This window comes from Homo sapiens, chromosome 6 (assembly GCF_000001405.40).
Source record: "Homo sapiens chromosome 6, GRCh38.p14 Primary Assembly".
In the NCBI taxonomy this organism is placed as follows: Eukaryota; Metazoa; Chordata; class Mammalia; order Primates; family Hominidae; genus Homo; species Homo sapiens.
Window position 1 is genome coordinate 45,957,446 of NC_000006.12, and position 14,693 is coordinate 45,972,138.

The window sequence follows — 14,693 nt, forward strand, 5'->3', positions numbered from 1 at the left end:
GTCTGGCTAGAGATCCAGTGCTCTGAGCTGCATGCCTGGAGCCAGCCTGAGGGTCCAGCCAGGTAACAGGTCCTCCCCAGGTGCTGGGGAGGGCTGGTGTTGAATTGTATGGACATCCTCTGGTCAGTGTGCAATCAGCTATGCCAGGAGCATAGGGCATGGTATCCTTCATGGCTCCCTACATTTTCATTATGTCTTATTAATCTTGTATTAAACTATGATTCTGGGTTTAGTAAACAAAAATTGTCAAAGACCAATAGAAATATGCGAGGATGCTACCATTTACTTTCACTGTCTGGGTGTCCCTCTTTCAGCTTCTTCTATTCCCCTTCAAATCCCAACAGCCTTGCGGCCCTAAGAAATTGTTTGTTAAACTCATGGGTTAAATATCGTGATCTGTGACGACCATCTGAAACATCAACAGAGAAGAACCAGGTGGGGCTCAGTTGGGCCCCACATCCTGAAAAGTGTGAGGGAAAACCCAGGTGTACTTTGTTCCAGAGAGATTTTGAGCACTGGGGGCCAGGGACCGGCACAAAAACAGTGTCCTAGGTTGAATCATGTTCCCCCAAATTCATGTCCCCCTGGAATGTGTGCATGGGACCTTATTGGGAAACAGGGTCCTTGCAGGTGGAATCAACTTGAAGATGAGGTCATATTGGATTAGAATGGGCTCTAAACATGACTGATGTCCTTACAAGAAGAGGGAAATTTCGGCACAGACATGCAGAGGACAAAGTCATGTGAAGATGAAGGCAATGATTGAAGTGATGTATCTACAAGCCAACGAACGCCAAGGATTGGTGGCAGACACCAAAAGCTAGAAGAGACAAGTAGAGCCTGGCTCTGCCCACACCTTGATTTTGAACTTCTGGCCTCCAGAACTGTGAGAGAATCCGTTTCTGCTGCTATCAGCTATACTATGTATAGCAATTTCTTGGAAACTGATGCAATCAGGGAAGTGTCAAAAAGACAATTATATATATATATATATATATATATATATATATATATATATATATATATATATAAACAGCTAATGGCAAACTTCCCAAGCTCATGATTCTGCTTTGAACATGATTGCCAGCTATAATCCTAAAGTACTTCCTGTTCCCTAGATACAGTGTATATAACAACTTATTATAAAATATCATGCCACATATAATATTCCATATGGTGATACCAGTAGTAGTAGCATAATGTAATTATATAGGCTGTATGATTGCACTTCATCTGTTATATGCTGGATACTTCATATTATATGCTATTATATATTGCCTTTCATGTGAGCTCTCTCCATATATGATGAGCTTGGCTCCCTCAAAACATAGTTGAAGTTTTATTTACTTTGTCTTCAGCAGCAACAAGCACAGGCACCTGAAACTTACTTTATATTCAGTGCCTATTTAAATGGATGCATGCTGAGGGGAGGGTGATGTCCCTCCCTTTTTGTGGCTTGAGGATCTCAAAATTCTCTCACTGGCATTCTGAAAATCATCCTAAAATACATGCATACATACTACATACATACATACATACATACTACATACATACATACATGGTTACCCTGAGTTATGTAGCACACTAGCCGGAGACTGTGGTTCTAGATCCATCTCTGCCTCTACTTCACTATGTGAATGACCTTAGATAAGTTACCTCCTCTTGGCCTCAACCACTGCACCTATAACTTCCTGCAATTTTGTAAATTCAAGTGGAAAATGGAGATTTATTTAAGACCGCGGTTCTCAAACTTTTTAGTCTTAGAACTCTTTTATGCTTTTAAAGATTGTTGAGGATCCCAGAAAGGTTTTGTTTATGTGGATGATAGTTATTGATATTTACCGTGTTGTAAGTTAAAGCTGAAAAACATTTAAATATTTAGAAAAATGCTATAATAAATGTGTCTATTAACATACACAACATCTTAACACAAAATAACTATATTTTCTAAAAACAAGAAATTTAGTAAAAGTGGCAATGTTTTATATTTTTACAAAATCTTTAACATCTGACTTAGTAGAAGTCGGCTTCCACATTTAATCTCTTGGTATTTAGTTGGGGTATATGGGGCTTTTGTTGTTGTTGTTGTTGTTGTTGTTGTTGTTGTTTTTGAAACAGAGTCTTGCTCTGTCATCCAGGCTGGAGTGCAGTGGCGCGATCTCAGCTTATTGCAACTTCTGCCTCCCAGGCTGAAGCAAATACTGACAAATATTAAGTCTGAGTAAGCATGGTGTGTCAGCCAGTTGCTCTTTCAGGTAAAAACTGCTTAGTGAGGGAGGCAGCTGGTTCAGCTGGCAACTCAATCATACAAGTGCTTTTCCTTCCACAACCATCAGACTTTGGAATGCAGCCAAAGAGCTTATGTGCATTTCCCATTTCATCAACCAGAATGTTTAGAAGACATGTATGCAAAGGTTGAGATTTAATCACATTATATAATTTTTAATGCTTCATCAAGGACATTCATAATTGAGGCTATTTTTTTTTTCTGCACATGCATGACTGGCTAGTCACACTTATACCACTGCTTGGATTTGTGCTGAAACACTAGTAAACTTACCCACGAAATACCAATCCCAGAGAGAGAAGCATACCATATTGATATAACTCTAAAAATAGTTGTGACCTCTTAAAACCCCTGAAAGCCTCTTAGCGACCCCAGAAGTCCATGAACCACATTGGAGAACCATTGTTTTAAGACATTCCATGAACACACCAGATATGTAATACTTGGTTTCCAGATAATGAAGGGGAAGCTGATAATTGGCCAAAAGTCACTCGCGGGTACCCAAGTCCAGAAGTGGGAGGAATCATTCAGAGAGGATCCAAGAAGGAATTATAGAAAGTGACCAGATGACATTGAAGCTTGATAGATGAGTCAGTTATCAATTTATTGCCTTTCAGCTCCAATGCACCCTTGAATATATGCTCTGTGAGAACAGGGGGAATTTCTTTAAACATTTCTCCTTTAAAGTGAGCACAAAGTTAGGCTTTCTCACCAGGGAGAACTAGAGGGGCACTGCAGGAGGAAGAGGCTTTCTTGCTGGCTGTGGTGTGGGCTGGGGGTGGGCAGTGTAGCTGTGAGGGCACGCAGTGGAGCCACCCCAGCTATAGGCTCAGCATGCAACCCCCCTGGCACCTCATAGCCTCAGCCTGGCAATAACCTTCCCAGCACTCTTGACACAGAAACCAAAGTCCCCATTAAGCCTATGTCCAGCCGGCCTATGGCCAGTGTGTCCACACAGCTTGGTCACCCCCTTTGCAAGCCCCACGTGTCCTGAAGGCCTTCTTCTCCACTAACACCTAGATCCTGCTGCATGCTGTACCGATGCTGATTGCCTGCTCCCTGCCTGAACTCTGGGGAGTGGGCTATTGCTTGCTCAGCGACTCCAGACCAGCTCTGGCCTGATCAAACCAGTGAGTTTCTGTGCCAGGTTCCAAACCACTTCTAAGTTTGTCCTTCCCTGGCTCCTCTCCCTCAGCCCTAGGGTACCATAGAGAGTTTCCTTATATGTCATGGTTACTCTTTTATCTTAGTTAAAACTTCATGTTGAATTTCTCCTGTTTAAGCTACCATGTAGTTTCTCACTCCTGATTGGACCCAGACTACATCAGATGCTTAAATGTCTGTTATTTCAAAATGTAAGATTTTTGTGACCTTTGACTTCTTTAAAAACCTGGCAAGGTTAAGTCCTGGATGAAGTATTAGGAAAGAAACCTCAGTTTTCTCAAGAAAGATAATTAAGTCACCACTTACGTCACATTTCCACTTTTTGTTGCTGTCGCCCATGAAACTTGTCCCTGAGGACTCAAGTGATTAAATAATTTTGTTAAGTGTACAGATAAAAATTAAGCAACAGTAGGGCTGTAACTGACCTCAGGAATGCTATACTCCAGTTCTTTCTTTTTACTGGTAGAGAAATAGACCCAGAAAGGTTAAATGAATTGCCCATGGTAGCACAGCTGGTTCCCATAGCAGAATCAGGTCTCTCTAACTCCTGACTCTCAGTTCTGAGCAGACCACACTGGCTGCTGTCCTCTAGAAAAGAGTGACAAAGTGGCAAAGGCCACATGAAAAGGACTTTCTTTAAACATAATAGCTCATTTAAACTGTTTAGACAAAGAAGCTTTCTTTATAATAATATTTCCAGCTGCCCATTTTTTAATTAGTTAGTGTAAGTCAGACAACATTTCTAGTTGTGACTATTTTTTTTTTAATACCAAACAGTCTATCCTTCCAATAATTTGGTTGGCAAGACTTCAATTAGCAGGGATGGGACTTGGTGGTACGTGGTCCACATGAGGACAGAGAGGTCTACCCTTGAAGAAATCAACATTTCCTTTCTCAGAAGCCACAAAAGGCCTAATTCACTGGGGTCACCCAGGCATTTTTCATTCAAGAAACAGGTAACAGGTATACATTTGAGGCTACAGAGATCCTCAACATTTATCTAAAGTTTAATGTATGGGCTTAATTAGCTCTATGTAGACCACTACCTGTGCAATGTGATATGAAGAATTCTAGGTATATTGGTCAGAGTTCTCCAGAGACAGAACCAGCACAACATGTATGTGTGTGTGTGTGTGTATTTATATATACATACACATATATGTACATACACACACACACACACACACACACACACACATCCTGTTATATCTACTATATATGGAGAAACGTATACACATCTTATTTTTATATAATACATTATAATAACATAATATTATATATATGTGTGTGTATATATATATACACATATATATAATACATATCAGTTGGGGTGTGAAGAGAGAGAGATTTATTTTAAGGAACTGGCTCACACAGTTGTGGAGGCTTGGTGTGTTCAGAATCTGCAGGGTAGGCCAGCAGGCTGAAGCCCCGGGGAAGAGCCGCAGTTCGAGTCCAAAGGCAGCCTGCTGGCAGAATTCCCATTTCTTCAGAGGAGGGGGTCAGTCTTTTTTTCTATGAGGCCTACCCACACTATAAAGGGCAATCTGCTTTACTCAAAGTTCACCAATTTAAATGTTAATGTCATCCAAAAAAAAAAAAAAAAAAGCACCTTCACAGAAGCATCCAGAGTAATGTCTGGTCAATATCTGGGCACTATGGCCCAGCCAAGTTGATATATAAAGTTAACCATTACACCTGGCATATTTAAATATTTTACTTGATTCAGGTAACCTATTAATTCAGTAGCTGTCATCTGCACCTTAGCTCACCAGATGGTTTTGTAAACAATTGAATATAGTTGTGTACATGTCCCCTCCCAAAAGAACTTGTAGGCTCCAGACTTAGCGGGCTCCTTGGTTTACGCCTCTAAGTGAGCAGGATCCAGTGGTGCCTTTGATGCATAACTAGCCTGGTCTGATGGTGGCTTTGGGCCCAAGGCTGCCTACAACTTTGTATGTTGCACAGTGCCACTGTGTTCATGGCCCATTGGGGTGTCTGTCCTTTAGCCTGCCTTGAGCTTTACGTCCATCTGCCACTGAGTGTATGTTCACCCTCCTGTGCTTCACACACTCTCTGAGAAAGAACTGCCCTTTCCAACTCATCACCACTGTCCCTTCTCCCAGCCCCTTCTTTCTACTCCTACATGGCTTCTTTTCTATTATTTCATGTCCCGCTATTTGAATAAATGAATGGGTTTCTTTTAAACCTCTTGCCAGCCTTTCTTCTATTTAACAACTTCTGAAATTGTTGTCTTTCAATCTGTTTCCGGGTTAATCAATTCTTTTTTTTTTCCTTTGTGTCTTCATCCTACCTGATATTCGTCTTATAGCTAAAACTTTTGATTATCCTTTCTTCTTAAAGCTCAGCCATCTGCAGCCTCCCTTGCCACTTGGTGCCTCTTAGGTGGGAGGAGCCAGCTTAACAGGCAGGCAGTCTGTGCAGTTGCATGGGGCCCCATTAAACTTGGTTTAATGCTCTGCTGTTGCTATCCTGAAATTCTTAATAATTTTGGAGCATAGGGTCCCTCATTTTCATTTGGCAGTAGGCACTGCACATTATGCACTGGCCTGCCTGTGGACCCCTTATTTTTCTTGCTGACATCCTCCTTTTTCTGGCATTTGCCCTCTCAGCTCACCACTCTTCTCCTCCATGCTTGGTGCTCTTTGGAGAACTTACCTTGAGAACATGACTGTCCTTCCCAAGTCAGCAATAACTCTGGCTTCTAGGCCTATAAACATGCTACTTACCCTAAGCTTAAAAAAAAAAAGTAGAAAGGAAAGTCAGAGAAGGAAAGAAAACAAGGGAAAATGTTGAAAGGCTTGCTTGGCTCAAGTCTCCCTTGTTGGTTCCACCTCCTAGCCTATCTCACTGCAATGTCATATGTTATTCTAGAATTTGCCTCATTTCAATTAAATATCTTGCCAGTTACTAGATACTTGAGGTTTTCTTATAAGTCAGACAATATGCCTTGTTATTACTATTTTTCAAAACTAAATGATCTGACCTTCCAATAATCTAGTTGCTATGCTCCATTAGCATGAATGTGACTCAGTGATTTGTTTTATTTATCTACTCTCAGAAACCTGTAAGTACTCAAGAAATGTAAGACTGATGGCCTTGGTATGTCTTCCAAGTGATTCCACCAATCTTGGGAAGGAAGAATGGTTCTCATATGTTAATATTATCAACCTTCACCATGCCTTGGGAGAGCCCAAAGTCCACACTCTCTGCCTCCAAGTTTGGCTGTTTCTGCTCACTAGCCCAGGTGTAATATTTAACAGCTAAATTCCATTGCAGTAGAGGCAGATTTCAGTCCTCAGCTTCACAGAATACTGTGGTACAGTATTAAGGGCATTGTATAGACTCATGCAAACCTGGGTTCAAATTCCTCCCCTGACACCAACCAGCAGAAAAAATGTCTGCAGCACTATTTCCAATCCCGTATGTCCTTCATAACCTTTCCACAGCCCCAGCTAGAGGTGGAGTCCACATTTCCCTTCTTCTTAAAATAGGGCAGGCTTTTGTGACTGCCTGGATGAATGGAATATGGCAGAAGTGACACAATGTGTGACTTCTGAGATTAGGTAATAGGGGGTGATACAGCTTCTGCCTGTGTCTCTCTCTCTGTCTCTTTTGGGATGCTTGCCCCTGGAACCTAGCCACCATGTTGTGAGGAAGCCCAGAGCACATGAAGAGGTTCTCTGTAGTGTTCCAGCTAATAGTCTCAGCAACGTTTTCAGATGACAGATTGCCTCAACAACCAGACAAGAGAATGAATGAGATTTCAGATTATTCCAGCCCCCAGCTTTTGAATTGTCCCAAATGACATCTAGTGAAGTAAAATTAGCCATTCTAACCAAGTCCTGGCCAAATGCAGGTTTTTGAGCAAAATAAATGTTGTTATTGTTTAAAACCACTAAGTTTTGGGCTGGTTTGTTACTCAGCAGGCAACTCACATACACACTTAGCTTCAGGCCCCTTATCTTCAAATTGGTGGCAGAGTTGTATAATTGGATGACAATATGTATAAAACATATAGTATTTACTTTATACATTTACAGCTACTGTCTTTATGGCCGCAGAAGGCAAACATTTAGGAAGAGCTTGTTAAACACCCTATTTATGAAATATTATGCCTTGATGAAGAGTCAATAGACCTCTCTTTGATGGCACAAAAGTTCAACAGTACCTAGCGTTCAGGGTTTTGTGTATGAAGCAATAAATTCAACAAAGAAAGAAAATACATGAAGAACTACAGCTATTGTTCATTGGCCAGAGGAGAGTGTTCCTAAACTAGGTCAGTCATGCATTTACTATGAAGGGAGAGAGGGAAAAGTGACTCATGTTTGGTTAACTATTGGTACAATGATAGATACATGCATGTCTGTTCTCTATAAGACTATTGAATTTCTGTGAAAAGCAACACCCTCCAACCAAACACCTTTTTCAAGTAGTTCAAGAGTCAAAGATGAGAAGGGCTGGAACCCAAGGAATATAGATGGTTGAAGCTAAGGGATCAGGTCCGGGACAGATTCCTGGAAGTTTTCTATTGAAGTTTATTGGAAGCCTTTGTGTTCTCTCAACATCCGGAAACATTTTCACAGCTCTTTAAGGTACTGTCATCCTATTCTTTAGACCTGATTAAGGCTCTCAATGCTTGGTTCAGGAAAGTTGAAATCTGGAATTCTTCCACCTCAGAAATGTACCAAAACACAGGAAACCAAAGAGCAATACAAATCTATAGCCTCAAATAAACAGAACTCCTTTCCACATTGGTATAATTTGAAGAAGAGGTCTCCTCACTTAAGCCTCCCTTGGAGAATCCCCATCCTAATACAGGAAATATGTTTTCCACTTAATGAGGCCACTGTCAAAAGCTTTGCTTTCCTCTCTTGACATTTTTCTTATTTGTTATCCAAGATGCTATGGAAATTAATGGCAGCTCTTGATCGTGAATCCATTCCCCCTATATTTAAGGAATAAGCCTGCAATTCCTATAATCCTCATACCAAACAAGGATATCTTGATATTGAGCTCTGCTACTCCTACAAAGGTTGGTGTTTGGGATCCTGACATAGCTGAGATTCCTCAATTATTACTCATCTGCCCTTCTGTTCTGGTTGTCTGAATGTTGAGTTTTGAATATAGCCTCTTAATAGGATAAGCTGGGCTGGAAAGACTTTAGAGACATCCCAAAATCTGTCATCCTAGCTCTCTGTTGGCTTCAATAATCACTCATGAATCCCAAACTCAAATATAACAAATTGAAAGCTTATGACACTAAAATGAAATCTGAGTCCTGAGGTTTATTAATTAGGGTCATGTACATCTGAGAACTTATGAAAAAAGTTTTTGCAAAATTACTAGTTTATGATATGTCAACAAAGTATGTTTTTAGAGCTCGAAAATTCCACACAACTAAGCATTTTAAAAACTGGAATGCCCAAGCCCCACTCTCAGATATTCTGATTTAATTAGTCTGGGGGTAGGGCTCAGACATCAGAATTCTTTTCCCTCAATGTTCTCGAGGTGATTCTAATGTTCAGTCAGGACTGACAACTTCTGACCTAGTGGTGCCCACAGTGGGAGATGTCCAACAGAATCACCAAAGGAGCTTGTTAAACAAACAAAGAAACAAATGAGCTCCCTGACCTCACTGTAGACTTGCAGCATCAGAGTCTCTGGGCTCAGGAGATGTGTGACGGGCTGGACCAACCACCGACAGTAGCACTTAGGACGTTGTTTCTCCCTCCTCTTTTTGTTTCCTTTTTCCTTACCTAAACTGGAAACTCCTTCACATCCTGGCCCCACTCCTACTTCCCACCCCATTTCTACACTGTTCTTCTTCACCTTCCATCCCTGCACAGGCCCTGAAAGAAGTGCACCATTTTGAGTTGTTCAGGGCATGGAGAGCCCATTTTGGATCAAGATGTCTGAAGAACCTCAAGTCAATGCAGCCATAAACAATGCCAAGAACTTCACGTGCCAACTGATATTTTTATGGTTGCATCTCCACACAGAACTCTTAAGTTCTGCCAGGTGGGTCTTCCCTGAGGGTGACAGAGTGTGCTGTGACCGGGTACAGAAACCCTAGTCACTGGGCTCAAGTTCTCATGTGGTCAACCACAGGCCATATGTACCCAACCACATTTGTTCTCTCCAGCCACCTTCCTCTAGTCAGCCATGGTGAAAAATGTGGCTTCTTAAAAAATGCAGGGTCCTCATAAGGTCCTGTTTTGGGCTTTCTTGGCTGCGTGGAGTACCAGCAAGCTGTATCTCCACTCTCAACTATATGCAGGCACTTGGCCACTTGGGCAGGGTGGATCCACACAGCCAGATGGGCATCTTTACCAAGGGCCAGCTTGGTTCCAGAGACTGGGGATGTAGTGATGTGGTGATGAAAGAGACATGGTCCCTCTCTTGAGAAGCTATCACACAACAGAGGCAGCAAAAGGTAAAGACATGATGGCCAGGTCATCACTGAAGTGCAGTAGTAGTAGAGAATGGGTGGAGTGGGGACAGGAAGGAGCCCACCTAAGGGTTCACGGAAGGATTTGGGGCAGCAACAATGCCTAATGTGAGCCTCAAAGGTAAGAGAGTTTATTCATACAAAGTGGCAGGTAAGGCCATCCAGGCAGAAGTGATGGCATAAGCACATGCCTGGAGGCTGGATTGAACAATGCAGGTGTATTAGGCTGTTTTTGTGTTCTGTAAAGAAATACCTGAGACTGGGTAATTTATATTGAAAAGAGATTTAGTTGGCTGATGGTCCTGCAGGCTGTACAAGTGCCATGCCAGCATTTGCTTAGCTTCTGGTTAGGGCCTCAGGAAGCTTATGATCATAGTGGAAAGCAAAATGGGAGCAGGCACTTTCCATGGCAAAAGCAGGGGCAAGAGAGAGAGAGAGAGAGGAACCAGGATCCTTTAAACCACAGCTCTCCTGTGAACTATCAGAGCGAGAACTCACTCATTACCATGGGGAGGGCACAAAGTCAGGAGGGAACCAACCCCATGATCCAAACACCTCCCACCAGGCCCTGCCTCCAATATTGGGAATCACATTTCAACATGAGATTTGGCGGGGACACACATTCAAACCATATCAGTGGGTGTGCAGGGAATTCCAAGCAGATCTTCTTCATGCTCTATTAGGAAAACCCATGCAGAATTTCTCTAGTTCCCTTTCTTCCTCCATTCTGAGGACCCCAGCCTAGTCACAGGCAAAGCCATAAGGCAGTCAAATGCTCATCTTCTGGGGGTCTCTGTGTCTTCCCAATCTGCTATCTCCACCATCATGCATCTCTAAACCCCTCAGCCACTCTTGGCCAGCATGCCTCTCCCCACTTGTATCTCTCAATGCCAACTCTGAAAGCATTCACATTTAAGTATGAATTGTTGGTAACTGCTAAGCACTTATTCCTCCTGGGGTACTTTTATTTATCATGGCCCAGATGTAAGCAACGAGATGAAGCTTCAATAGTGGGGTTGCAGGTGTCTGCCAGAAACTGATTAAAGAACTGGGAAAGAAGGAAGAAGGGCAACAATAGCTTCCTGGGGGTCCTGAAACCAGACATGTAGGTTTTTATCTATTATCTCCTATGTGAGATCCTGCCAACTTGTTACTTCTGCAGCTCTGAAAAACTAGCTCACACAATGGATGCCCCAGACCAAAGGGCAGGCACTCTTATCACAAAACTGCCTTAATTTCCATTTAAAATTTTCTATTTAAAATTACTTCAAGGCTGGTTGGAAGGGCAAGACTTCAAAAACAACACATTCCTTTTTAATTAATTGGAGGCGGGTGACTATAGGAATGTTTTAGCTTTGCCGTTAATATGAGTGCTATGAATTTGTAATAGTGACATCTTCCTATACTTGTGCAGTAAGATGTTTGTTAGCAAGAATGTTTGGAGAAGCAAGATGTTCCCTGGTGAACTGAATTCCCTGGGTAGCCCTTTAAGCAATTTGGGGCAATGTAATAAAAAGCAGAAGATTAAGAGTTCTGCGTTCCAGACCTAGTTTTGGCACAAAGAGTTGTGTGACCTAGGGCAAGTAATTTTCCCTCTCTGGGTCTTAATCTTGTTATTTTTAAAGTGAATAAATTAGAAAAGATGGGCTTGAAAGACACTCTGTTCCTAAAATGTGGCTAGGAGAAGGTGAAAATAACTAAATCTTTTATTTGCACCTAAAAATTCCAATGGCTGAGTAGAGACTCCACAAGCTACTACAGTCCTCTCTCCCAGCACCATGCATGGCTCACAGCACGGGCTGGATAAATGTTTGCCGAGAGGATGAAAGAGCTTGTGGACTAGCATTCTATTCTGAAAACACAGGCAGCTGGATCTGCAGGGGAGGGGCCAGCACTGTAGATTGCAAGGAAAATCAGGCCACAAAGGAAGAACCACCTGTGACCACCTTTGCTAGCTGCTTCTGGGCTCTGCCTTCTCACAACTTCTCTGTAGCATCTTTCCATAGTATTCTCAGCACCTTACCTTAAAAAGCAGTTGAAGAAGCACCCTTTTTGGAAGGCTGTCCCCACCCCATGTCCCCGCCCCCACCCCCTCCTGCTCTATCCAACTCCTTCAGACTAGGGCAGTTGAGATCCAAAGACTTCAGATGACTTTTCCAAGGCCACATAGACGATCGGTAGGGATGGAGTTTGCTATTGAATGGAGATGGCTGAAATCTCAGTCAAAATCGTGAACGTATGTAATTTAGACATAATCAGGGAAGACAGGAAAAACAGAACTGAATCCTTTGGAAAGTCATCTTCGAGAGATGTTCCTGCTAACCCTTGCTTATCTTTCATTTTATTCCCTTAAAAGAGTAAACTGCTGAAGACAGAGGAAGAAAAATCCTGCCTTGTTATTGAATGGTATGGATTCACATTCACATCAAGGTTTTTTTTTTTTTTTTTTTTTTTAATCGTGGAGGATTTACTCAGGGTAAAGACAGAAAGCCACACTCCTACGACAGGTCCTGAGCTCCCAGGGGAAGGATAGAAGGGAAGCTGTGTAGCTGTCTTTTCTCACTATGTTCCTTCTTCTCCCGCCTAGGGTGATTGGGAGGATTAGGGGAGATAACACAAGTAAAATGGGGGCGCAGTGCCTGGCAGAAAGCACTCAGTGCATCTGCCATCTTCAAGGTCACTCTGCCCTCTGGGCCCATTCCTCCTTCCTCCCTCTCCTCACCCCCAGCCAGCACATTAAAGGTCACAGGTCTGGAGAAAGTCCTTCTCTGCCACTGTGCAACAGGGAAATGTTTCTCCCAGCCAAGTGCCCCTGTCATGTGGGCCCACCCAACTAATTTCTTCTGAGCCCCTATAGAACTTACAGTGAAGACTGTGGTTAGTCCTGGATGATTATATCTTCTGCTTTAGAAGGGAGCTTTGAAAACAGCCTCACAATTACAGAAAAAACCAAGCCAGTTTTTGTGTCAAGAAGACCCAATTTCGTTTTCTCAGCCTTGAAAAAAAATCAATTTGAACTTGCTGCTGGCTGAGTTATATGTTCAAGCTCAGACCGAGCTGTAATTGGAAAGGAGTCTGTCTTTTGTAATCCCCAGGCCAAAAGGGGAAATGAAAATCTTTTTCAAATGGCAGAGTAAGGCAGGAAATGTTCTCTTTATTGTACTCCCATAAAAAAATAAACCTACCCAGTAATTATACCACACACACACAATAGTCCAGGCCCTCACCCAGGAAGCCACAACCTGAGATGAAGGAGTCAGTGGTTATTTTCAAAAAGGGAATTTTTCCAAGCCCTACCATATTTTCTCTCACAAGTTCCTTTGCATTTACAAGAGACAGATTGCCCACCCTGCTTTTCTGCCTGACTGGTGGAAGTCAGACAACCTGCATACTGGTCCCAGTTGTTCTGCAAGATGAATGTGCCCTTGAGCAAGTCACTGTCTCGATCTGGCATTCTGCACCCTTACCTATGAAATGAAGGGACAACTAGACAATGCCTACATCTGAATTCTCTGATTCTCTTTATGCTCACTTGTTCATTGGGCACAAAGGAGTCAGAGGTGATCCCTGCTTATGAAAAGCTCTAATGTAAATTCTCCACTTTATGTCTAGGAGAAAAAACTGAAAGTGGCCATTATAAAAATACAAAACTGCCCCATTGGTGGACTCCAAAATAAATGAGGTACAGAAATTGTTCTTTTTCCTCTACTGGATCCTTTCTGTAAGTCTTAGAATTTGCTATGATGCTCTTGGGGCATTCAAATTCACAAGCACAAAAAGAACTACATTTTGGGTACCACATTCTAATACTACTATCCACAGAGTGGATTCCTCAAATCAGCCATCTGGTATATAGAATATGTGAAAATGCATTTCCAGTTCTAGCAGAGATTGTTCCATCCATAGGTCTAGAGTAGAAGTATATGTAATCGTTGACAATCAACAAAGCATATCACTTATATCTTATTTAGTTTGAAGGTGCCGAACAGGGTTGTTGTACATGTTTTTAAAAAAATTTTATTATGGTCATCTCGTCTCCACCCAAACCCCCACCAAACTATTTCTACCCTCTTAAGCCAGGGTGAGCCAAAGTCCCAACCTTTCCTTTACGTACAAGACCCACCTAAGGAAGGAAGCCTGCTATTGTTGGACTATGTTTAGAACAGATGATGCTACGTGATGAACTTCGAGCATTAATGACAGATAGTCTTCTAGATCCTATCTAATGTTTAGGATCAGCCCCTTCAAATTGTTTTTTGATGGAGCCTCAGGAATGGCAAAGAAACATTGCAACTTGTGCTTCATCTGCCAATTATTGAAGGAGGCTGCTGGAAACATAATATAGAAAATTCTGAGGTCTCAACTAGGATTCGTAGGACAGAATGTAAGCATTATTTGGTGATGACATGTTTTATTTATAAAGTCAACCTTAGATGCAATTCTGCTGACTCTTCTACACAGAGAAGAGGCCTGCTGAAGAATTAAAAGATAAGAACAAAGCTAAAATGAGAAGCATAATTTTCCCCTATGTCCTCCTAGTTAGCTCTTATGGACCTTTCTGTAACATGAGTTTCTTCTACTAAGTTGTAAAACAGATCCTGTTTTACTTTTCTCTTCTCAGTCCTATGATACAGTTCAGGGCCAGACACATTTACTCTAGTTGTTCAAAATGTAGCCTGCATGAAAAGACCAGTGTCTCAGAGACATACCAAAGGGCAGAACAGAAACAAGGCTTAGAAACAAATTTAACATAAGTAGAGTATGGGTATCAAG

The 14,693-nt window shown here is 42.0% G+C and overlaps 1 protein-coding gene across 12 annotated transcripts in view, besides 1 other annotated feature; it reads right to left on the reverse strand.

Annotated features, from left to right (window-relative positions):
• The window catches only part of CLIC5 (chloride intracellular channel 5), a 248,993-nt gene that overhangs the window by 76,619 nt on the left and 157,681 nt on the right, over positions 1-14,693 (reverse strand). The window contains exon 1 of one of the 12 annotated variants that reach the window (XM_047418898.1): positions 12,785-12,803. The exons of the other annotated variants lie outside the window; for them this stretch is intronic. The gene's annotated coding sequence lies outside the window, so the exon portion shown is untranslated. Of the gene's footprint in view, positions 1-12,784; positions 12,804-14,693 lie in introns of those variants that run through there. 12 annotated transcript variants of the gene reach the window in all.
• Positions 3,195-3,694: an enhancer, noted in NCBI's record as "H3K4me1 hESC enhancer chr6:45928377-45928876 (GRCh37/hg19 assembly coordinates)". NCBI's record gives its function as "activates a minimal SCP1, AML or CMV promoter by ChIP-STARR-seq in naive H9 embryonic stem cells {active_cell/tissue: H9 hESC(naive)}" and the evidence as "EXISTENCE:reporter gene assay evidence [ECO:0000049][PMID:30033119]".